Raw genomic sequence first — 24,671 nt, 5'->3', positions numbered from 1 at the left:
TAAAAATTAGCTGGGGCAGTGGCTCATGCCAGCTACTTGGGAAGCCAAGACAGGAGGATGGCTTGAGGCTGGAAGTTTGAGACAACCCTGAGCAACACAGCAAGACCTTGTCTTTACAAAAAAAAATTAAAAATTGGCTGCGATGGTCTCATGTACCTGTAGTCACAGCTCCTCAGGAGGCTGAGGTGGGAGGATCACTTAAGCCCAGGAAGTTGAGGCTGCAGTCAGCTATTATCAAGCCACTGCACTCCAGCATGGGCAACTGAGCAAGACCCCATCTCTAAATAAATAAATAATTTTTTTCTGTCAAAATATCTGGTGGACGTCATGTTGAAAATATACAGAAAAGTGGTTACCAAAAGCCCCTCTGTGGGGAAGTTTTTAGTTGTCTGTGGCCAAATGAGAGTTGTGAGCTCTATGTGTATGCAAGGGGCCTGTGGGGTCTGGAATGTGTGCCGAGGGCGGGGAGCTGGGTCTGAATGTCTTATCTGTCGGAGACCTGGTGCTCTCTGATGCTGTCCCTGGCCCTGCCCCTGCCCAGGGGGACACCAGCAGGGCTAGACGTTGCAGCCTCTGCTCGGTGGGCCTCAGCAGGCGTGTGCGGGCAGGCGTGTGCAGGCAGATACAGGGTCTTTGCAGCAGATCAAAAAGCAACCCTACAATGTCACTTTAATGAAGCTAAGTGTATTCCATAGCCTTTCATCCTGAGGACAGGCTCTTCCCATTCTACTGATTCCAAAATTCTTTTGTGAAATTATATTCCCAGTACATGGTAGTTGTCTGCTTTTTTTTTAATGTCTTAGCTGGCAAAATAAAAACTTGGGAGTTTTGAGGTGGCGAGACAAAGGCCTGTCATTTTCATCCCTAACTTTTCCTATTTTACTGGCCTATGAAGTCTGGGAATCCCCATTTAGATGGGAACGATGCAAATACATAAAATAAGCCAACAGTGGCGACTCACGGCAGGCTAAGCCTCCACTGCATGTCTTAGAGCTTATTGTTGGGAAACCCTCAAGTTACCTGAGGGATGGTAATTTTCATTGCCTTCTGTCTCATTTAAGATCTGCTTGGACGTGATGTCCACCAGATATTTTGACAGAAAAAAATTATGTATTTATTTAGAGACGGGGTCTTGCTCTGTTGCCCATGCTGGAGTGCAGTGGCTTGATAATAGCTGACTGCAGCCTCAACTTCCTGGGCTTAAGTGATCCTCCCACCTCAGCCTCCTGAGGAGCTGGGACTACAGGTACATGAGACCATCCCAGCTAATTTTTAATTTTTTTTGTAAAGACAAGGTCTTGCTGCGTTGCTCAGGGTTGTCTCAAACTTCCAGCCTGAAGCCATCCTCCCCATTTAAGATCTGCTTGGACATTTTATTAAAATTCCCTAGTGAAATTATATTTGGATGATCCCTTAGGTCTAATGTTTTGAGATCTCTAATAAAAGGGGACAACATTTAATTAATTGTAGTGAAAAGAAGGATAGTATCATCTCATCCACAGAAGTCCACCGTGTTATAGTTAAATTGGGTAGTGTGATTGCCTTCGTGGAGAAGGTGATTTCTGCGTTATGTTTTATTCTAGTTTTATTCGTTATGTTTTCCTATGGCATGCTCTGGATTACTAACTAAATGCATTTCTGTTGGCCTGAAAACCCCTGGCTTTAGAACAAAGTTGCAAACCCAGAAGGTATCACCAGCGAGCCTCATCCAATAGCCTCAGAACGCCCGCGCTCTGCCTCCGGTTGCGGCTGACAGCCGCCCTCCGTGGGTCAAGCCAGCGTGAAAAGCGCTGAGTTCAGGCACAGACAGCGGCCTGCAGGCACCGTCCCTGAAACGAGGCGGCAGGGCCCCCTGACCAGAAGCATTGGAAGCACAAAGATTCATGCAGGGTGGTCGAAACCAAACTCAACAGGAAGAGCAACAGGCTCAGCCTCATCCCAGGCTCCGCAGTTGAGCAGGTTCCATGGCACAGGCTGGGAGCACAGCGAGCGGGATGAGCGATGCACTCACGGTGCCGCAGGGCATGGGGAGAAGGACGGTTTTTCGGAGAGGGAGTAACCCGCTGCCCACTGCTCCCCTGCGTGTGCCAGAAAGGCAGCAGCGGAACCTCGGCCTGTCCGTCCTGGTTTACTCAGGGTGTGGGGTGTGCCTGGGAACCCAGATGTTTGTCTCTCACACGTGCTGGTTTTGATGGAAGTTACTTGTGCGATGTGATTTCCACGGATGCAGGGGAATGGAGCACGAGAAACATGCTCTAGGTAAAAAAAAAAAAAAAAAAAAGTATTTCAATAGAGGACAGTGTCCGCTCTGTCATCACCATTCTACTGGAGACAGTCAGGTATGGATATTTGATTCCTGCCATGTTCTGATTAGAGCAAGATGAGAGTGGGACAGTTTCCTAAACAAGCCTGGAGCCGTTGCACGGTGAGCTTCATACTGTTGGAGGTAACACTCGGACAGACTGTCGGGTGGGTGTTGAATGTCCTGGAGTGTGGGACTCGGCTTTTGTTCATGTTTAACAGTCATTAACGTATCGATGTCCAGGTGGCTATGGTGCACCAAGACCGCTGAGTGCACTCGAGGTCCCTGTGGCTGCAGGCGGGGGCCCTGGCTCAGCTCTTGGCTCCCGACAGATCAGAAAGCCTCTGGGTCTCTCCTGGTCAGCCCTCCGTGAAGCAGCTGCTAGCCACAGATGCGTCAGCCATCGATTATCTGCAGTTCAATTTTACCCTGAGAGGAAAAGCCTGGCTGCAGTGAAAGCCACTTTGGGCTGGAGAAGGGCTGGTGTCAGACAGCTAGAGGTGGGGGATCGCCTGCGTTTCTAGAACATACGGAGGGAGTTTAGGCAGGAGTGAACGGCAGCTCCTCCATCAATCCCACCTTAACTTTGCTAAGTCTCAGTTTCTGGTATGAATAAAAGGGCTACTAAAACCACCCGCCTCGGAGAGTTACGAGAATGCACACATGCACCTCCCAAAACTCCTGCAATCTGCTCAGGAATGCCCTCTCTGCCACTCTCTGCGGGTGCTGTGGGTGGAAGGCAGCGTTTGTGGGAGGGTGGCATGGGGAGGACACGTCACCCAGGTCAGTGTGCTGCTGCGGAAAGGAGCCTGGGGTTATTTCAGGTAAGAATAGAAATGAATGCTCCCATCTCATAAACACAGAAACAGGCACATCTGGGCTCAGCGACTTGCTGGAGCACATCGGCTGGTCAGTGTTGGGACTGAGGTCGGCCTCCAAGGTCCTTCCCTGTGGTTCTGCCCAGACCTCCGGCCCTGGCCTCAGCCCCACCCTGGCGACTGCAGGCCCTGGCGCTGCCACGACGGCCGATTCTCCGTCGCCCACATGCTTTGATTTGCTCCAAGGAAACTGCAGAGCACGAGGGCCTGGGGCTTGTGGAAGGCGGTCCCGCTTGGCCATCCATGTTTCATCTGAGCAACACATCCAAAAGCATAAATTAGGGTTTGGACTTTAGGAAAGGATAAAGCAGAAAAGTTTAATTCTGTATTCTGGAACTTCAGAGCCATGCTAAATGGTTTTATTTACCATATTAGAAAACTCTCTGCAGAACCAGAAAGAGTGAAATTTTGCTACAGAAATTAATTTCTAAACAGAATTCTTTAGACCGGGGTATCCAATCTTTTGGCTTCCCTGGGCCACATTGGAAGAAGAAGAATTGTCTTGGGTCACACATAAAATACACTAACAATAGTTGATGAGCTAAAGAAAAAAGTCACAAAATAACTCATAATGTTTTAAGAAAGTTTATGAATTTGTATTGGGCTGCGTTCAAAGGCATCCTGGGCTGCATGCGGCCTGTGGGCTGCAGGTTGGACAAGCTTGCTTTAGACCATGGGTGTAGAGGCTGACTTAAAAATAAGTATATAAAAAGCAGCTTAACAGCTATCATGCCAAAATCTAAGTTTTTCTAGCAAAGAAGAGTGGGGGGTTTGGTGTCTTTCCTTTTGGAGTATACTCCAGTAAATATCAGCATCTTCTATTAGCAAACGTTCAATGCTTGTTGGACATCTGTGGAGGCCCCACACCATCCCAGATATGTTAGAGAATAAACAGAGCCTGGTCCCTGGCCCTCGGAGAGGAGGTCACTTGACTGGAGAGAACAAAGCAAATATGAGGCGATTAGAAGAGAACTAAGGAGTGACTCTGTGGTACTGGAGGGTAAGACGCACTCGGAGAAGGGTGTCTGGGCCTCCCAGGGCCAGCCTCCCCAGGGTGGGGACCTGGAGGCAGAGGCAGCAGCGTGGCCATTGTTGAGACCACAGAGGTCAAGGGCCTGCAGCATTGCACATGGCGCCACGGAGGAGAACAAGGGAACCCAATGGCAGAGAGAGGAGTGTGTCCTTGGAGCTCATAGAATGAGGAGTCCGTGCAGGCGCATGAGTTAGGAGCCTTGTGTTGCAAAGCCCTTTACGGATGGTCCAGCGGTTGTGCAGGCAGTGGAACCCACGAAGGGATCCTGGAGATGAGGGAATTAGCCACGATGTCGCAGTGAGAGCCCCAGCAGAAAGCGGCAGCAAGCAAAGGAAGCGGGGGGTTGTGGTCACATAAGAAATAGTCCAAAAGAAGGAGTGGCAGGACCTGGCGACGCTTGTGTGCTGGGGATGAGCCACTGGAAGCAGCCAGTCACACTGTAAAAATGAGGCCACGTGACCTTTCATTAACACCACCTCAGTGGAAGATGAGCTTCCTCAGGTCATGACGCCTGAGTTTCTTTATTTAGTAAACGCTATCCCCCACATATCACAGCTGCGTCCTGCTGTGCATTTCTGTGCCTCAGAAACCACTCGGAGATACATGATACCCCTGTTGTTGCTCACAGATGGTCAGTGATTTGAATATCACCACCTTCTAAAGGCCAGCATTGTCCTAGCAATAAGATTAGGGTGTGGTGTTGTTGTTTAAGGAAGTTTTCCTGCAATTGCAGAAATCGATTAATACCACAGAAAATATTATAAGTACATATTTTGGAAAATGTAGATCTGCATGTTTCACTAATTGTGTAATAATGCTCTGCTCTATAAATATCCAAATGTAAAAGTCTGCATTGGGATTTCGTTTGACTGAAGGCAATATTAACGACTAAACTGCACTCGCCCCTACCAAAAACGCTGCACATCCATAGATTTAGACTTCTTCGCATACTTCTTATGTGTTGGGAGAAGCTACTTTGGGGACAAAAATGCCCTTCTCTGTGCCTCACAAATAACTGCATTCAGGGACACAAAGCCCAACTGTTGCAAAAATATTAGTATTCAGATGTTCTTGTGTTTTGTTAATGCATTTAATTATGTACAATATAGCTATTGTTTTCCTTTCACATTTGCATTAATTTATATTAGCTAGAGAACATAAAGCACAGCTATAAAATCAGACTAATCATTTCTGTTGTTCTTGCAACCTATAAATAAGCATTGCACCCTGCAAAAACTGCAGCTTTGTACTGACCACAGTATTCTTCACGTTGCTTTTTCAAACACTACAGTGCAATGATGTACTTAATAATATGTTATAAAGCTTAGCGTTCTTACATAGTTGAATTTCACCAGTGGTCATGGAAGAACGGTGCCACCGAAGTCTCCCGCCCCACCTGGTCCTGCCTTTTCCGCACTTGTCCTGGAGCAGGTGACCTATTTTTCAGGCACAGGGCTCAGCCAGCACAGTCACACTGGCAGCCGTACGCAATCCCTTGGGTGCATGGACGAGACCACCGCGACCCTGGGTTCCAACTGCTGGCTTTACACTTTGCTGTTGGCAAACATCTGTAATGTATGTGAGAGCAGGTTAACCTGCCTTGGAACCAGGTCTTATGTGGACTGCATGATACGTCTCACTTACAGGGCAGTTTCTCAACCCAGATGATTTTGATTAAAAAAATCAGAAGCACTGGAATCCTTTTTCCAATGAGCGAGAGTTGTAAGTGTGCAAACATCCACGACTATCAGCAGCAGAAGGAAAGCAACCCCACCTCACTCCTCCCATGCCACCACCCCCAGAACTGGTGCCCTCCCCTCTTCGCATCCCCCAGATGAGACCTCAGTGCTGAAGGGGCCTGTGTCACCGTGCGTTCTCAGATTCAAAAAAGGCCACCCGCTGCAGTTGGCCAAAGACCCCGGGAAATACACTGAGAAATAAAGAAAGGAGCTGCATTGGAGTCCAAGTGCTCATGATGGCTTAAAAGTAGAGGCTGGGCACGGTGGCTCACACCTGTAATCCAAGCACTTTGCGGGGCCGAGGCAGGTGGATCACGAGGTCAGGAGTTCGAGACCAGCCTGGCCAACATAGTGAAACCCAGTCTCTACTAAAAATACAAAAAATTAGCTGGGCACAGTGGCAGGCGCCTGTAATCCCAGCTACTTGGGAGGCTGACGCAGGAGAATGGCGTGAACCCGGGAGGCGGAGGTTGCGGTGAGCTGAGATTGTGCCATCACACTCCAACCTGGGCGACAGAGTGAGACTCCATCTCAAAAAAAAAAAAAAAAAAAGGTGCATCTTCACAGGCATTGTTTTATCTACAGCATCGCCCAAGGTCAGCCACCTGGGAGGCTAGCAGGCTGTCATCTGGCTTAGTCAATAGTGCTATTAATGCAAGAGGAAATTGCATTTTTATTTAAAGTTTCTACAAGAATTGCTGAACCTGGGTTCCAATTCTGGTGGTGCTCTGCCTGTTTGCGTGTGTGTGTGTACACGTGGGTGTGTGTGCACCAGAGCGGGGGTCACCTAACCTTACCAAGTACAAACTTAACTCAGGTGGGAAATGTGTCAGTCCCACTCTCCCTGAGAGCTGCTGCCAAGAGACGTAGAATCTTCCACCCGAGAGGCTGCTCCTACGGCTTCATCTTCAGAGCTGCTGATACCAAGGCTGTACGGAGCGGAGGGTGGAGGACTCTTTCTCAGAAGACAACACTCTTCCAGACATTTAGTTTAACAACTTAACATCCCCCAAGTTATGTGTCTTCTCAGTCCACGTGAAGAAATGCCCTCAAAGTATTTTTAGTGTGAACCAAACCACATGAGAAACATCTTTTCCTCACCAACGTCTTTATGACTTTCCTGCCTCTTAGTAATTGTGCAGAAAAGAGTTCACACTGCAGCCTGGAGCCGTCCACTCTTAGGCAGGCCTGTGGTGAGCTAGGTCCCGGGGTGTGGTCTGGGAATGCGGGTTTCCAGAGTGCTCCCACCCACCATGCCCTAACCGGGAGGGTGGTTCGCTGTGCCGGAACAGCTGTGAGCACCACATGGTCTGTGCAGAACAGCGCCTTTCCTCTGAAGGCTGGAATCTTGGTGGCACCAAGCGAGGCAGCCTATGAGACCAGCCCCGAGTAAAGCCCTGGGAAGGGTCTCTAACGAGCCTCCCTAACAGACAGCATGTCACACATGGGGTCACAGCATGTGCTGGGAAATTCAGCCTCCCATGTGACTCTGAGGAGGGGTTCCTGGACTTCGCCATGCACCTCTCATTGCAATGAGTCATAGCAGTGACAGGACCATATCCTAAGTCCCGGGAGCTCTCCTAGCAAGTCAGGGAAACTGGAGGGGTCACGGGGACCCCAGGGCAGTTACTGAAAGAGGTCCTTTGTGGAAACCGACGTAGAAGAATATCTGTCCACTGCTCACTCTTGGTCGCTTGGCAGGCATGCATTCTCAACTGTTCGCTGGTTCCCTGTCTACACCTTCCCCAACCAGGCCACCTGCAGCCACTCTCCCCACTCCCCCACCCCAGGCCAGAGACCTTTCTTTCCTTAGTGTCCCAGCCAGACTCCCAGTCCCTGTCCCTCTCCCAATTGCTCAGGATGGAAGCCAAGGTGCCCCCGGCCTCTGGGTACCACCATCTCCATCATATCCCTCCACAGAGGCCGTCCACTAGAATCTTCCCTCCCCAGGCCCCGCTGCTCCCCAAACCAAGCCCTGTCTTCTCGCCACATAGCTGCCTGCTCTGCCCTTTCCACAGTCTGTTCACAGCCATCAAGGCTGTGATACCCCTGCTGTTGCTCACAGATGGTCAGTTCCCTGCACAGGCCCTCCTGCCTCCCAGGTTACTGCCTGGCCTGGGAGGTTCTCAGCCCGGCCATCCTCCTGGACCCAGAACCAGCATGGCCGCTCTCCTGCTGCTTCCGCCACCGGGAGCCGATTCCGCGCAGGCTTCCAGTGGGGGCTGCCTTCCCCTCTGCCAGAAGCACCCTCCCCAACTTCCCCAAGTCCTCGCAGGGCCCAGACTCTCATCTTGTCCTGTCATTTCCGCAAGGACCTTCCTGCTGACCCAAGCCCTCTCTGCTTTCCTGTTCTCTTGCCTGATGTGAAGTTGCACATTGCATGAGTTGGGGCTGCCAAGACAAATTACCATATGCTGGGGGCTTCAAACTACAGGAATTCTTCTGTGACCATTGTGAAGGCCAGAAAGCTCAAGTTGAGATGTCTGCAGAGCCCTGCTTCCCCCGAAGGCTCTACAGGAGAATTTGCTCCATGTCTCTTACTCCTGGTGGTGCCAGAAGTGCTTGGTGTTCTGAGGTTTGTAGATGCCCCCCTCCAGGCTCCTCCTCCATCTTCACACCTCTCCCCTGTGCATCTGTGGCTGTGTCCAAACTGCTCTCTTCTTACAAGGACACCAGTGATTGGAGTAGGGCCCACCCTACTGCAGAATGACCTCATCTTCACTTGATTCCACCTGCAAAGATCTATTTCCAAATAAGGTCACACTCACAGGTACAGAAGTTAGGACATGGACATATCATTTGGAGGGATACTATTCAATCCATAACATACATTTTCACCTGCTTTCCCCACTAGAATGTAGGTTTCACGAGGACAAGGACCTCGTGAATTACAATCACTGTAACTCAGATATTTAGAATGGTACATTACACCTATTTGGTACTCATAAATAATGGATGGATGGATGGATGGATGGATGGATGGATGGATGGATGGATGGATGAACAGGTAGGTAAATAGATGGATACATGAGTGGATGGATGGATGGATGGATGGATGGATGGATGGATGAATGGATAGATGGATGGATGAACAGGTAGGTAAATGGATGAATACATGAGTGGATGGATGGATGGATGGATGGATGGATGGATGGATGGATGGATGGATAGATGGATGAGTGGATGGATGGATGGGTGGATATATGGATGGATGGATGGATAGATGGATAAATGGGTAAATGGACTGATATGTGGATGGATGGATGGATGGATGGATGGATGGATGAGTGGATAGATGGAGGGGTGGATGGATGGATGAATGGATGTATGAGTGGATGGGGGATGGATGGAATGGATGGATAGATGGATAAATGGGTAAATGGACTGATATGTGGATGGATGGATGGATGGATGGATGGATGAGTGGATAGATGGAGGGGTGGGTGGATGGATGAATGGATGGATGAGTGGATGGGGGATGGATAGATGGATGGGTAGGTGGGTGTGTGTATGGATGGATGGATAGATGGATGGATGGGTAAATGGACTGATATGTGGATGGATGGATGACGAATGGATGAATTGATGGATGCATGCATGCATGAGTGGATAGATGGTGGGTGGGTGGATGGATGAGTGGATGGGGGATGGATGGATGGATGGGTAGGTGGGTATGTGTATGGATGGATGGATAGATGGATGGATGAGTAAATGGACTGATATGTGGATGGATGGATGCATGAGTGGATGGATGGATGAGTGGATAGATGGAGGGGTGGGTGGATGGGTGAACGGATGGATGAGTGGATGGGGGATGGATGGATGCATGGATGGATGGATGGGTAGGTGGGTGTGTGTATGGATGGATGGATAGATGGATGGATGGGTAAATGGACTGTTATGTGGATGGATGGATGAATGGATAGAGAGATAGATGGATGACTGGTATTACAGGAATATGTGAGTGAATCCTGTTTTCTGTAGATAAGTAATAGAGTTTGGAGAGGAAACTAACTAAATGATATTTATTTAAACCTAACACTCTAACTTGAAAGCAAAATGGATTCATTGCCCTTCGTGACAGAAATGTGGTATTTTTTGGAGAAAGCTATGAGATGCTGGTATACAACATGAAATATCTCAATCCCACTTCAGATTTCTAATTGTTTCTGCTTCCAGAGGAGAAGCCAAGTCAAAATGTCCTGAATAAGCAGTTCTCTATTGTGAGAGGCCTCTTGTGGAATCTGGGATTGAAACAATTCTAAATGCCCCACTTCTTTCATGCATGAATTGCAAAAAGATGTGGCAAGTTTTGTTTCTACCAAGAAAACTAAAAACACCTTTTGTCAAATAAATGCTCCTTGCATATTTAACTTATGCACCAGTGGCCTTTTAAACAGTCAATGTCCCATCAAGGTGCCTGCACATCTGGGCTCTCCGGGAGCAGCCATGGCAGCACCCGGGAAGAAACGCTGATGTGGCTGCTCTGCATGCTCAGATGACTTCATCGGGAAGCCTGGGTGCATTTTACGCTGGGTGCCAAATCTCGAGTAACTGAGGAATTCCCAGAGCCTTCTGAAACACAGAGCTGCAATAAGGCTGCTCCATCCAGGTTAGCTCCATCCTAGGCCAAGGGCTTTATGAGGACTGCACATATTCTGTGGGTTTTATAGGAGACAGCTAGGTCAAGACCCCTCAGAGAAAGCTGCTTTGTCCGGTGCTCAGCTTTGCACAGGCCCGTATTCATATCTCATTGTTGTTTGCAGGAGAGGCAGATGCGAACCAGAACAATGGGACCTCCTCTCAGGACACAGCGGTGACTGACTCCAAGCGCACAGCGGACCCGAAGAATGCCTGGCAGGATGCCCACCCAGCTGACCCAGGGAGCCGCCCCCACTTGATCCGCCTCTTTTCCCGAGATGCCCCGGGGAGGGAGGACAACACCTTCAAAGACAGGCCCTCTGAGTCCGACGAGCTCCAGACCATCCAAGAAGACAGTGCAGCCACCTCCGAGAGCCTGGATGTGATGGCGTCACAGAAGAGACCCTCCCAGAGGCACGGATCCAAGTACCTGGCCACAGCAAGTACCATGGACCATGCCAGGCATGGCTTCCTCCCAAGGCACAGAGACACGGGCATCCTTGACTCCATCGGGCGCTTCTTTGGCGGTGACAGGGGTGCGCCCAAGCGGGGCTCTGGCAAGGTGAGCTCTGAGGAGTAGAGGAGTTTTAGTTTAAATGGAAAAAGCAAAGGAGAAATCAGTAGGTGAACTCAGCCATTAGAGGAAGAACTGGCACGTAGCCTCTTGCTGTCTAAGGTCTCGTTCCGTGCTGGAGAATGCATATGAGCCCAAGAGTGTGGGCCTGAGTGGCTGCTTAGGACGTTTTCGTTTAACTCACCCCCTCTTTTCCTCACAAGGGATGGTGGCCGGGGTGTGGCTCAGGAATGTAAGGACATGCTGAATTCTGGATCTCTAAGGGTGCCTGGACATGGGCGTTGCAGAAAGAGAGCCACATTCTCAGGGTCTCTGGTGGTGTGTGCTTGCGGACTTGATGACTGATGTTGCCTCTGCAGCCCACACGCTGGGGTTCAACACTGGGTTATGCTCGTTTTTTCCTGGAGTCAGTGCTGCTAGCTTCATGTTGCTCTGCGACAATCATAGGATTGAGGTCGAGGAAGACTTTTGAACAAACTCCTCAATTTAAATCCGCCTTGAGCAAACGTTCTCTGTGGTCTGAGAAGTGGAAGGGGGGAGGGATAAATGAGTGTCTATGAATCAAAGCTTTATTATCTTGTGATTCCATTAATTTGCATACAGAGTCTTAGAAGTTTCTTTATTCAAAAGCAAATGTGGATAAAAATGTATTACAAAAAAAAAAAACTCTGCTATGGGGTCCAGAGTCTAGGAGTGGTTTCTGCAGTTGATTGTCAGTGGAGAACCTGTGGCTGCTGGTTCATCAAAGCGCTGGTCCCTGAGTGCCATTCAGATTGCAGATGCAGTATTTTACGTGATGTTTAGAGTGTTTGGTGGTTGTGTAATTTTGGAGAGAAAGAAGTTTTTCCCAAAAAAGTCCCTAGTTTATTGGGTGTTCTCACACAACCTGTAAGATGAAGCTGTTTTTCTGCCTGTGTGCAGGGCTGATTCTGGAATTCCAGAAGGCCTTGTGGGAGCGTAAAAGGCTTTTGAATAAAGTGTGGAACAGAGCGCCTCATTCTGATAACATGCAATCATAAAAACCATAGGGCAACTTGGAGTTAAGGAGTTTCTAGAATTTGCTTTAGTCTCCAACTGCAATTCTTTATTGATCATGAAATTGTTGAAGAGAAACACAAATGTCAGTTTTACCTTTCCTGTGGGCGTGAAAGCACATCGAAGTTTCAGGCAACTGTTAACATCTCTACCATCTGTCTGAGTTGAGATTTCAGGTTGTGACACTTGCCGTGACTTATTTGTAAATGACATTTTGTGTGTCTTAGATACTAATGGAATTCATATTCTGGCTAGTTCTTTCAGTGCATTTGTAGACATGTTCTTTTCCTTTGTAGCAGTCCTCCCTCACCCTGAAATGTTGGTGTTCTAACCGATTTCTAATGCTAATTTCAACTGGAAGCACTTTTTCAAGCCCAGCTATCAAACCACACCAGACATGTATGGATTCGGGTTGCCCAATAAAGCGTTGCTATTATGTAAGCATCCCTCACGCATACAGCATCACCAGTTTTGAAAGCTTGAACTATTCTGCTTACTTCAAGGTACAGAAAAAAAAAATGTACTTAAACTGTGCAGAAAAGATGAAATCACTGGATAATATGTATTATAAAATAAGCTTCATGTGAGTGACACTGGTTTAAGTTGAAATAAAATGGTGAAAGCATTGATATCAATCATTGTGACTTTATCTCAAAACAATATTGACACACATAGATGTTTTTCTTCCTTTATGGTAAGATTACAGCCTTTATTGTCTTAAATCTCTTATACTCTTCAATATTTTCAAAGAAAACATTCTAGTCTCAGAAATAGTCCATCTCTTTGCAAAACAGGGCTGGCCAATTATCAAGGACCCATAAAAATCAAAACACTTTCAAAAATTTTAAAAATAAAAATAATTTTCACATGATTGCTTTAGGAATTTTGAAGTATCCATTCTTTTCACTATGGAGTGTTGAATATAGAAGATTTTTTAATGAACAGGCTTGCCCTTTGATGCCAAAGGCAAAAAATAATAATAATAACATTTGCACGTGTGATCACAGAGCAGCTGTGAGGCATCCCGGGGGAGCGCACGCAGTGGGGATGTGATTGCTCCACTCAACTATTTTATCACAAAGTGTTGTAAACATGGGAGATGAAAGCTTAACTCTCTCTACACCCAGCTACAGACCCGCAATGGCCCTAAAAATCTGGGGTATTCATTGGGTGGGCTGCCATGGAGGAATTTTTGGTTTTGTTTTTATTTTTATTTGTTGTTCTGTTTACAAATCAGGAGAGCCCCTGTTTTTATATGCTAGGAAGGTCCTTGGGATAGGCCGAAGAGGTGTGCAAACGAGCAGTGGAAGGCCCGGGCCCTGTCTCTCAGGACCACGGCGGCCTGCCCCACACACAGTTCTGCTTCTCCCTATCTAGAACGAGGTTTTCCTGGCAGATTCCTGCCAGACTCTGAGTGGAGCCCCCCCATGACCCTATAAAAGGGGCTGTTTGTCCTCCTCCCACCCTCCTGTGCTCTTCCTCCCTCCCCTTGAGGGCACATGGCCGCTGGTACCACATGTTGGAGCGGCCGCCCCCGAGCCCGGGAATGCCCTAACAACACCCATGCTTGTGTTGCTGGGAGCTGACATTCAAGAAAAGTGCATTAAAAATTCCTTGAGAAGGCATATTCTTTTGAGAGCCGTAAATGAAAAGTGCATTCACGGAGAACATGCTCCTTTGTTGTGAGAGGAAAGAAAGGACTGTTGTTGCCTTTAAGGAACAGGTTTCCCAGTTCCCCGGAATGTCAGGGTCACATGAGGAATGGGTGAGCACTTAGGGCCAAGATTGTCGTGTGCTTGGCCCGGCAGCTTCTCTCTAAGTGACCTCTCCAGCATCACTCTGTGCCAGTGCTCATATCTGAGGCCACTTGAGTGTCACGAGGCAGAGCCTGGAAACATTAGCTTTGGAAACCGTTCCTTCCTTTTTATGTGGAGGAAGTAAGGTTTCACAAGACACCTAAGCTGGACATGGTGATGTGCCACTTGGATAGTTCCCAAAGCAGAAAGCAGCCAGGACATCCCAGTACCCCACTTCTCCGTGCCGTGTACTTTTAGGGAGGTTTTCGAAAGCTAGCTTCTTACCGATGATTTTGTCTATTTTTCTGTTTTATGTGAAAACCTTCATTTATAACCTGCTCTTCTCAGTGTTCTTCTATTCAGCATTCAGTATGACTTCTATGCCTCTAATTGCGACTGTATGGAGAAGAACTGTTTGTCATTCAGTGCCGTGGGATATAATCAGTCCTGTAAATTCATCAGAATGTTCTGTTGCCTGATTTTTTTTCCATTGCATTTTAATTTCATTAAACATATTTTAGTTCTACAGTAACCTAATTCCTCATTGTTACCATGAGATCCTAATTCTGTAGCTGTGTTCTGTAATCCCATGGGGCGTGTACCATTTGGAGACACATGAAGGATACAGTAGACAGCACGGAAGGCAGCAGCAACACACAGGGGTGTCCTCCCTCCCCAGAGCCCAGTGTGCACACAGAACCAAATTCAATCTCATTCATCGTGAGCTTGCATGGTAACTGATCCAGCCACTCAGTACCTCCATTGGATAAGAGATTTGGCCACAGATTCTTCTAGAGAAAATCCAAATGTGGAGGGTGCATTTGTTTCTGCACCCAAACAAATACCTTTTGAGATTTCTTATAGGCATTCCTCTCAAAGTCTCATTACTCTGATCAGTTATTGATCGGAGGCTACCCTGGCTCAGTCACCAGCTGCTCACTGTGTCCTTCTGTGGTCTCAGGAGCTGCAGTTGTTGCTGTTGTATGAATAGACGATAGTTAATTAGACTGGATGTGTCTGTACTGGCAGTGATTTTGCAACTTCCTCTGTATAAGCGATACATTTGTAAATCATGGGAATGTATTTGATGGTAATTGCCTGTGGTGGTTGTATCATGATTTAATTTTATTATGAGCTTTTGGCTTTATATATTTTTCTGCCTTTTTATGCATTCATTAAACAGTTTAACAGACCAAGGACAGTGTACTAATTGCATGCGAACTTCTTTAATTTGTCGTTTTTGGTTTGGTTGCCCCCACCACGTCAGTGTGCTGTGTTGCCGGCATTTTTGTGGCCTGGTGACACAGCTGGCAGGTAAGTGTGAGCACCCGAGCTCCTGCCCTTCTGTGTGGGAAGGTCACAGTTGCTCACTCATCTGCTTTTACTACACAGAGACATTTTACTGTCTTCTCTCACCTGACCTGTGCTTCTGTGTGGGAAGGTCACAGTTGCTCACTCATCTGCTTTTACTACACAGAGACATTTTACTGTCTTCTCTCCCCTGACAGTTCGGTGTTCTGGTCTTTCTATGGTGACTATTCTGATTCTGCCTGAAGTTTCTTGTGTTTCTCTCAAAGCATCATCCCGCAAATGTTAGGGAGGGTGGACGCTGAGCAGATCCCACTGGCAGGTGCTGTCATGGACACAGCCCGCCCCACCAGCATCTCCTGAATGAACGTGCACATGGGTGCCAGTGCCCACAGGGCCCCCCGGGAGCTCACACACAACGGGGGTCATGGGAACCTCGAGACACTGAAATGAGGGGATGGTGCTGGCTCTCTGAAAGATGATAATGAGTGTATGAGATGAAGCTGAAACTTGGGGTCTTTGAGAAATTAGAAACAAGAGTAAAGATAAGTGATTGGCTTGGATGCGGTCCTGCCTTTCATGTCCCATCAGACCCTCGTCTTAACTCATCTCCTCCCTTTAAACTCATTTGCATTTTAAAGCATTCATTTCTCTCATCGTTGATTTTCCTTTGATAAAAAGTCTGGACATTTGATAACAGGCAATTCTGATCGGTGAATTAGGAGCTTGGCTTGACATCTGAGGGAATAGATCATCCTTAGAAAAAAACACACAATAGCACTCGTGAAAATCACTTAGATATTGATACAAATTTAAGAAGTGTGGACATTTCCTATCAAACCCTGATTCAATGTTTTTAAAAGTTTTTTCCTTTATGGCTATCAGCACACTCTTAATGCTCTGAAATCATCCTACTTCATAAAAACGTAGTAAAAAAGAAGAAACAGCTAAAGAACACTGAACTCTCTTGAGGGAGCCCCATACAAGCGGGCTTAGCACACACAATTTCTCCTAAGAGGCTATTCTTGCCTTTCGTCTTCTCTGGCCCTTGCATTTGTCCTCCCTCTTCCTGGCTCTGGGAGTGGCAGGCAGCCGGGGTTACAGGTTGCATTTCCTGAAAACCATCAGTGGGATGTCTTATGGCTACCCCAGCCACCTGCCTTCCCCATGAGTAGACAGGGAGTCAGTAGAGGGGCTTCACGCCAGCCCACCAGAGCCACGAGAACATGCCTCACAGTGATGATCTTCTTTGTGAAGAAGAGCCATTGTAGGAGATGGAGGGAAAATTAATGGAAAGTTCTTCGCTTGTTGGCCCTGTACATAGCGTACACTTGCTCACGCTCATGGACACCAGCTGATGGGAGTCACTGCTTATGAGGACAGCCAAGTCTCATCAGCACAGCAACTCCCGCAGGCTTATCCACGGAGACCTCCTCTAAAGTGAATACTCAATTTACTTACCTTTAATATCATGAATTAAAGTCACCAGAAATTCCTGCTAACCTAGAAATAGCCTCTCTCATGCAGGGAGAATCCATCAGGAGACGTACAGCTAAGCACACACTCACCACAGATTTGCCTCTGAAAACCCCGGTGTGTTCACTTTCCATAATACTTCTAGAATGCTCCCACATTCTTCAGTGTCGGAACTACTCTATTCTCATGCATACTCAGCTGCTAACCTGGTTAAAAGAATCCATTTCATCTGCAGCCAATACATCTCCTGAAACCTATTACGCTGATTTCATCTCTTGACCACTATAAGTCTCCTCTTTCTCTTCTCTCTCTGTCTTCATTTTGCTGTAGCTGATAGTCAAGAAATAGACATTTCTTGCAGGGCACTTACCTTGGTCCTATAATAATAGTCTTTCAACTGCAGCCCTCAAAGTTCATTGATATAGCAGATACTCTCGTGTAACTGACAAAGATAATACATTAAGTTAGGAGCTAATGCTACTTAGGAAGATTTGTAGCCGCAGAGCTCAGGTGAATGCGTAGCTCCTGCTCCTGCTGAGGAAGATTAACTTCCTGCTTATGTTAAATTCCTAACCTTCACCAGTACCAAGGAATAATGTCAGCAAGAAAATCAACTTTAAGTAATTGGCTAAAGTGATTTTGAACACTATTGCTCCTAAAAATTATTTCCTCATGCTCTGCAGAAAATCGGAAAAGGTCCGTCCTCGGTTCACTGAACCTTCACAGAGCAGAAAAAGTTTCAACCTGTAAATCCAATGCAGAAGATAACACACTTGCTATAAAAGAAAAAATACAACTCTGCAAGTAAAGTGGAATGTAAAATTTATCCATTCCATGGTAGACGTCAAAAAACCCTTTTAGTGCACTTTGCTCCAGACTGGGAAAGGCCTTCTGCACTGGATCCTAGAAATCTTTCACAGCTGGTGCCTGCTGCCATATTAAGAACTCTTGGTCCCATTGTTTGATACAGGGCCTCAGAATAGACTTTGGAGGAGAGAATTCTTCCCTAAACTTTCCTTTTGCTCTCGATTTCCTGAGTCCTTCAGGGCGCATGCCTGCCCTCTGACCTCCCATCACCTCTTGCTCTTCCTTCCATCATCCATCATCTGCACATGCCTTCTTCTCTCCCTGTCGTCCTTCATCCTCCACCCCCCGCTCACTCCTCCTCACTCTGGGCTCTTGCCAAGCCAGCTCTAGAGGAGATTTGCTGGAGGACTTTGGGGCATTGCCGGCGGCGCCCACCCGGACTCACGCAGCCCACTCTGTGTCCCCCGGCAGGTACCCTGGCTAAAGCCGGGCCGGAGCCCTCTGCCCTCTCATGCCCGCAGCCAGCCTGGGCTGTGCAACATGTACAAGGTAAGACGCCGGCGGGTCCTCACCCATCGGGGCCAGGGGTGACCTGCCGTTTCCTGAGCTCTCAGCCACTGTCCCTCGGGGCAGGTAGTGTCACTGCCAGGGGCCCACCCCCAGCCTCCGGGGCATCTGTGAGGCCGTGAAAGCAGGGAGGCAGGCCTCCCCCAGGGAAAAGCAGCTGCAGGAAGAGACAAATGCCCAAGAGGGGCATGGAGGACCTGCCTTTGAATCCTTGGAGGGAATCCTCTGCAAAGGGTATGGCTGTCAGCTCAGGATGATGGGCAGCCTTGGTGAGAGTCTGCCTCACTTTGCCGAGGCCTGAAGTGCGTGGAGGGGCCCGGGAGTGGCTCTGGTATTGAGGGCTGGCCTGGTCTATGGCCACGTGCATACCCGAGTTTGCTTTGAAAACTAGTGCCTAGCAGACATTTAGTACTCACTAAACATGGGTTGAATTGAGCTCTAAACGATGAGTGTCCTTGGGACGTCTGGTCTCTCTGGGCTCTGTCCTCACCTGAGCTCAGCTGGGCTCTGCATAGGAAGTGGGCTATCGCTGTGGCCTGTCCTCTTCTCCTTGTGTGGCTGCCACGGCTTCTCAAAGCACATAGGTGCCAGGAGCACTCACAAAGAAGAGGACAGCCAGGAGGAGAAGGGGAAGGGGACAAGCCCAGAGCTGGCACTGCCGTCACCGTGAGCAGGGCTGCCGTTTGCACACTAGGAGCGGTCACCACAAACCTGCATCCACCAGGCCCCCCTCCAGACCCAGGCCACCACCGTCTGCACCGTGGCACCTGGCTTTTTAAGCATGGGAATGTGCAAAAGATTGGAAACAGCTGCTCAAGTACCTAAATAGCGAGAACATTTCACAGCTATGCTCAATGGCGCACCAAGTTTGAGGGAGAGCTGGGGTACCCCTCTTCAGAGGCCGGCAAGGGGGGACCATTTACACTCAGCAAGGAGCACAGGAGCACGGGGGACAGGACGCCTGCGGATGCCAAAACTTGGAGGCCCTGAAGGGGAAGCGTCCGCCAGGTGTGGCTGCATGTCAGACATCATGCTAGTGCCTGGCTGTCCAGGGCTGCACCGCCGCGGGCCAGGAGTAGGTTTATGAGGAATGAGGATGTGCCTGCTGGCCCCGGGATGGCCAGTCCAGGCAGTGGCTGAAAGTGCAGCAGAGGAAGCCAGGGCTTGGGGGCAGAAGGGCCCTGGGGGAGCCGGGGCCAGACAAGGGCCAGGTGAGAGCCCCAAGGTGGTCGTGGGACTTGGAGTGACTGGCGGCTGCGGCTGGGGAGAAGGATTTCTTCCTGAAGCCACAGGGGTGGAGGCAACCATGCACCCTGAGGGGGTCTCAGTGGTTTGGAAGCCCATCCTGAGAGTCTGTGTTTAACTTGAATCGTGTCCTGGTTGTGAAGCCGCACTTGGTTTTCGAGGGCTCTCTTGGTGATGGAAAACACCACCACTACCCGCAGGTAGTTTCTGAGGGTCCCCCGTCCTTCTGGGAGGCCTCTTCTCTGGGGTGCACTGGGGCTGTGGCCACCTGGGCTTCACTGAGACCAAGATGGGGCTGCATGCACCAGCCCCTGCCTGGGAGGCACCGACCCTGCCGGCCCCGCCCTGGAGAGCAGTGCTGGCGAGAAGGAGGATTTTCACTGTGTGTGCAGGAATATCTGATGTGTGGGAGGGGTGAGCTAAGGGTGGCACAGCACCCAGTGTGTGACGCGCTGGCAGGTAGCGGCTTGGCCCCTACCCCGTTCCCTGCTCCACGAGAGGCACGCTGTCCTCAGTGGACCCTGGCCACAGAGAGATGGAGCCTCTGCCAGAAACCCCGTGTAGCCAAGCAGAGTGGAGAGGATGAGAGTCCCAGGCTTTGGTATCCAGATCATAGTAAGAAACTCAACAGAATGCTTCATTCCTCTTCTAAAAAAAATTATTTAGCAGGGAAAAGCAGCCCTTCTGTTCTCCACAGTTTCATCCTAGACAGGTTTTGCATATACCTTTAAAATCCTGGCCAAAGATAAGTAAATCCTCTACACAACGCTTTGTCCACGTGGCTGCCTGAGGCTCACACTCCAGGACACACGCGGAAAGGTGGTTAAAAGTCTGCAGGCTTCCAGGACTCAGCTCCTTGTGCTCAGCACTTGTGCACTTGTGGACACCCCATTCTGGTCCAGATAGGAAAAGCAGTAGGGGTGTGTGTGCGTGTGTGTTTGTGTGGGGGTGTGTGTGGTATTTACATGTCTATGGAATGAAGGGAAAATGAAGATAAGCGTAAGTTGAAACTAAAGCCTGGGCAGGCTGTGTGGGCTCCCAGCGTTGCTCTTAATGGACAGAGAACCCTCCCAGGGATGCGTGCTAGAGGCCTCAACTTCTCCCTCCAGCCCCCTGAGCAGGGGCCGGCGATGCCTGGCTCACAGAGGCCATCTCTGCAGGAGGTGCACACAGAGGGTGCAGGCGGGCTGGTCTGAGAGCCCCCAGGGGTGCCCCTGCCCGAAGACGGTGGCAATCCCACGCCATTTGCATATTGAGTGGAAGAATAAGCGAGGAGCTTCCCTCTCTCGTCCCTGAGAAGGAGCTTTTGAGTTAGAATGCCTTCCTCCGGTACTTTGGGATGCTTTATTATTGCAAGAAAGTGGCTGTGAGGGCACCAGCCACGGAAGAAGGAATTGCAAGGCCGGAGGCACTAAATGGTTTTAAAATACAGAGGGATTTTAAAATGCAGGGATTCCATGACAAAGGACCCTTGAAGTCAGCTCCCAACGGAGACAGAAGCAGCTGGGTGGAAGGCTCAGGCTGAGCAGTGCCAGGAACCAGCAGAGTCGGAACCAAGAACTCCCTGCCCTGCGGCTGAGAAACGCGAGCTGAACAGAGGGCCTCCGCCTGGGTCCACCTCACCCTGTGTCCTCTCCCTCCCTGTCTCTCTGTCTGTCTACTTCCCCCTCTCTCCCTCCCTCTTCGTGTCTCTCTCTTCCTCTTCCCTCTCTCTCTCTGTGCAAACACACCAGGAGGGTAAGGGAGACACCCCAGCTATGAAATAGGCAACAAGGCAAAGAACAGCCTGGCTCCCGTGCTGCGGTGCCCCCTCCAGCACGGGACCCTGCTCCGAGCTCCCTGACTCCCAGAGACACCGGTGCTCTCGGGGCTGACAGGGCTCTTTTCTTTGAGGACTGGAAGGCAGGCAGCGGGAGCACAGTAGGGGAATATTGCGACATGCGAGAACCCAAAAGCAAGCTGGGGAAGCAAGGATTCTGAGGGGAGAGGAGCAACACGCACGATGGGGAATGGCTGCGTGGGAAGTGGACCCACTGTTCTCTGCAGTTCCTCTGTCTGCTCAGCCCCTGCCTGCCCGCCTGCCTGTCCATCCCGTGCTGCAGGTCCCTGGAACCCGGTGCTGGGCCTGCACTGGAGGCTGGAGTGAGGGCGCCAGTGGTGCAGCTGGAAAGGTGGCCCCGGGCAGGGCGGCTCCTCTCGGCCCCGCCAACGGTGCCAGCTCCTCCAAGCTCCAGGCTCGGCCTGGGGCCCAGGACACTGACCTGAGCAGGAAGGGGCTGCTCTGGGCTTCCAGCAGCCACTGTCTCCGAGTCCTCGGACGTCCTTTCTGCCTCTTTCTCACAGACCCTTGTGCTCCTGGCCTGACTTGGAGGACACTGTCCACCCCTCAGCCTTGGCGCCCATGGAGGCTTCTGGAAAGACCTGCCCTGCCTCTGAATCCACCATCACCCAGCACACTGGCGTTTAGGAAGCAAAGCATTTTGTGCCATGGGAAAGCACAGGAGGAAGAACCAAAAATGCTTGGCTCAGGTCTCATGGCACTGCGTCATAGCCGTGGACCTGGGGCAGGTGTCTGTCTTCTCTGAGCTTCCTTCCCTCTCCTGTGAAACAGCAATGGTGGCAAAAGCGTCACCTGTCCTGCAGATGCTTTGGAACGTTGTGCTGATCAAGCAAGAAAAGCAATGCAAAGGCCCCACAGGAGCCTCGTCCTCTGAAAACATTGGTGTCATCATAACCCTGCCCCAGTGCCACTCCACACTCGTGCTATTCTGGAAGAGGCCTGGCCACCCTCAGAGCTGCTGGGGAGGGCAGTGCTGGCTCTAAAAGCCCTGCTGGCCCTGGCCCCTCTGCCCCTCAAGGCTGTAGCTTTGGGTCCTCTGTGTTTCTGTGCTGGGGCCTTAGTTTCCGAAACTGTAAAATGAAAATCCGAGCGGTGAACCTCATATCAATCCCTGCTCCCACCATTCTCAGAAGGAAATGGTAATCAAGCCTCAAAAGCCCCATGGTTGGGGCAGCTGGACTAGAACTTCACTCTCTGGCCATCAGCTCCGAGTCATCTGCGTTTGGGAAACAGACGTCTCTGAGCCTCCCCCGTGGGAGAGGAGTCCCTCTTGCCATGAGGAAGAGGAATTTTTTCCGTGGGTCTCTCGGGACAAGGAACAGAGACCCTGCTTCCCGGAGCTGTGGTCATGAAGGGTGTGCTCCTGCATGGAGACGCCATGGCAACATGGTACCTGGGGGCGGGCTGCCATCAAGGTGCCAACCAGAGAGGCCATGGCACAGCCACCCGGCGGAAAGCACACAACCATTTTAAGGACTTCCTCGCCAATCTGACAGCAGCTTTCGCCTCTGACAGGTGCCGTTTGTCCACCTCCGTTGCTTCTCCCTCTTCGGCACACTCACCAGGATGAGGAAGCTGGAACCCGGCGTCAAAGCTCTTCCTCTTTGAGGTTAAACCCAGATCAGAAAAATGCAGCCACTGAAAGGGTTTACTTAATGGCAGAAGCACAGGCTGCCGAACTTTGATTTGTTGTATCCTTCTGTGCCCAGAGCCAGAGCCCCAATGTGGGTCCCACAAGGTTTCGTGCCAAGAGGTCTCTGATACCGACCCCTGTATCACCAGCGGACAGAGGCAAAGGCCCCCAAAGGAGGCCACGGGAGCTTCACTTCCCCATGAAACATGGGAGAGAAAACACAACCAGATATGCCCCGACCACATCTACAAAAGCAGTATCTGAATCTCTGCATCCAGCCTCACAGTTTGCTAAGAGGAGAAACGCTGATCCTTCCTGTCATGGGGCAAAGCAACAACCTCCCGAGTAGGGCACCAGAAGGGAAACCACACACACAAGCCACGGGCGCCAGCGGCCGCCACCCTGCAGCGCTCTCATTCCCAGTATCTGCAAGGAGCTGCATCCTCTGCAAGGAGCTGAGGTAACAGCCTCAGGTTACCTGAAATCTGCATCAGAACGAAAGGCTTGTCTGTGAATTTTTTCAGACATAGAGAAAAGCCCGCTATTCTGGATGGTGCACAGCTTTCTGTAAAGAAAGTAAATGCCCGTGACTTTCATTAACTCGTGCGAGCCGATGATTCAGGAATAAACATAATCTTCAACCCGGCAAAGGGCAAAAACACAGGAAAAACTGCATCTGTCATTCAGACAGAAAAGAATTCTCTCCAAACTGCAAAATCTAAAATGCCCTGATCTTGCTTTTAAAAAAAAATCTAACATACTCTCCTGAGGCATGGTAGGAGCTGTTTGACCAGAAATCGAATAATAGCTTCCTTGCGGCGGGGAGTGGGGGGGGACACATATATATATATGTGCTTTTTTTCAGAGGAAGCTATTATTTAACTAGTATTGTAACTAGTATTTAACTAGTATTGAAAAGAGAACCACAGTGTTCTGTGATTTCTCGGAATTGCCAGAGCATTATGAAGTCAGGGGGATGGAGAGTAAGAAAAGGGGAGACAGCATGGCCCACCATTTACAGTCGGATGTGTCGTCTCATCTCCAGCCTTGCAGACTTTGACACCCATGTTCTGTCCAATAATACTGATTTCACTGGTGCCTGTTTTAGCTGCTGGTTCCAGTTTCCATGGGAAACAGATACCATGACCCTAAGCTTCAGATAGTTTGCAGGGGGTCTGCTGTTTCCCACTCCCACCGGTTTTTAGGTAGAAAATACGCACGCATTGAATAACAGAAGATCCCTGGAGAGAAAGGAAGATGCTGCGTAGGTGACTGTCTCCTTTGAGCATCTTTAAGGAGGATCATTTAATCACTTAAACAAGGTTTCTGGGGATGTCAAGGATCTCTGTGAGCCACAAAAGAAGTGTGATGTAGGGAAAATGGCAGAAAAGGTGCATCTATTTCATCTAGAACTACATTTTACGATTCCTAATTCAAAAAATATACTGAAGAAGCATATTATCACTTTCACAAGAAAAAAATTATATCAAATATACCTCTGTTCTTTCTTATCATGGCAGCTCAGAAAAACAGTGACACCACTATCTTCTGTGGTTCTGAACAGGCCACACAGATTCATCCCTGAGCTCTCTGTCTCTGAGTTTTTTCAGATTAACTTCTGAGCTCTCTGGTATCTGCACTTCCTGAGAGTGCCAGAAGAATCAAATATTACTCTGGGAGGTAAAAAGAGTAAAAAGCAAATTCATTCGCCCTTCACTCTCAGGGCCACTGCTGAAACCGTCGAAATGAACAGCAGAGGTCCCGAATGCCGCTTTGTGGATGTGTGCAAAAACCCGC

At 49.4% G+C, this 24,671-nt stretch overlaps 1 protein-coding gene across 22 annotated transcripts in view, besides 2 other annotated features; it reads left to right on the top strand.

The window, feature by feature from the left end:
• The window catches only part of MBP (myelin basic protein), a 154,876-nt gene that overhangs the window by 105,722 nt on the left and 24,483 nt on the right, over positions 1 to 24,671 (top strand). For 13 of the 22 annotated variants that reach the window (XM_047437533.1, XM_047437532.1, NM_001025101.2 and 10 more), the window contains one exon: positions 10,719 to 11,155. In XM_047437533.1, coding sequence (XP_047293489.1) covers positions 10,719 to 11,155 — 437 coding nt within the window. Of the gene's footprint in view, positions 1 to 10,718; positions 15,195 to 18,060; positions 18,139 to 24,671 lie in introns of those variants that run through there. The other 9 variants (XM_047437530.1, XM_047437529.1, XM_047437534.1 and 6 more) reach the window with 4 other exon arrangements.
• Positions 20,720 to 21,618: an enhancer, noted in NCBI's record as "H3K27ac-H3K4me1 hESC enhancer chr18:74718325-74719223 (GRCh37/hg19 assembly coordinates)". NCBI's record gives its function as "activates a minimal SCP1, AML or CMV promoter by ChIP-STARR-seq in naive and primed H9 embryonic stem cells {active_cell/tissue: H9 hESC(naive and primed)}" and the evidence as "EXISTENCE:reporter gene assay evidence [ECO:0000049][PMID:30033119]".
• Positions 21,619 to 22,518: an enhancer, noted in NCBI's record as "H3K27ac-H3K4me1 hESC enhancer chr18:74717425-74718324 (GRCh37/hg19 assembly coordinates)". NCBI's record gives its function as "activates a minimal SCP1, AML or CMV promoter by ChIP-STARR-seq in naive and primed H9 embryonic stem cells {active_cell/tissue: H9 hESC(naive and primed)}" and the evidence as "EXISTENCE:reporter gene assay evidence [ECO:0000049][PMID:30033119]".

The sequence above is a fragment of the Homo sapiens genome, chromosome 18, assembly GCF_000001405.40.
Source record: "Homo sapiens chromosome 18, GRCh38.p14 Primary Assembly".
NCBI lineage: Eukaryota > Metazoa > Chordata > Mammalia > Primates > Hominidae > Homo > Homo sapiens.
Note: the sequence above shows the minus strand (reverse complement) of the source record. Positions and strands in the feature narration are given on the sequence as shown.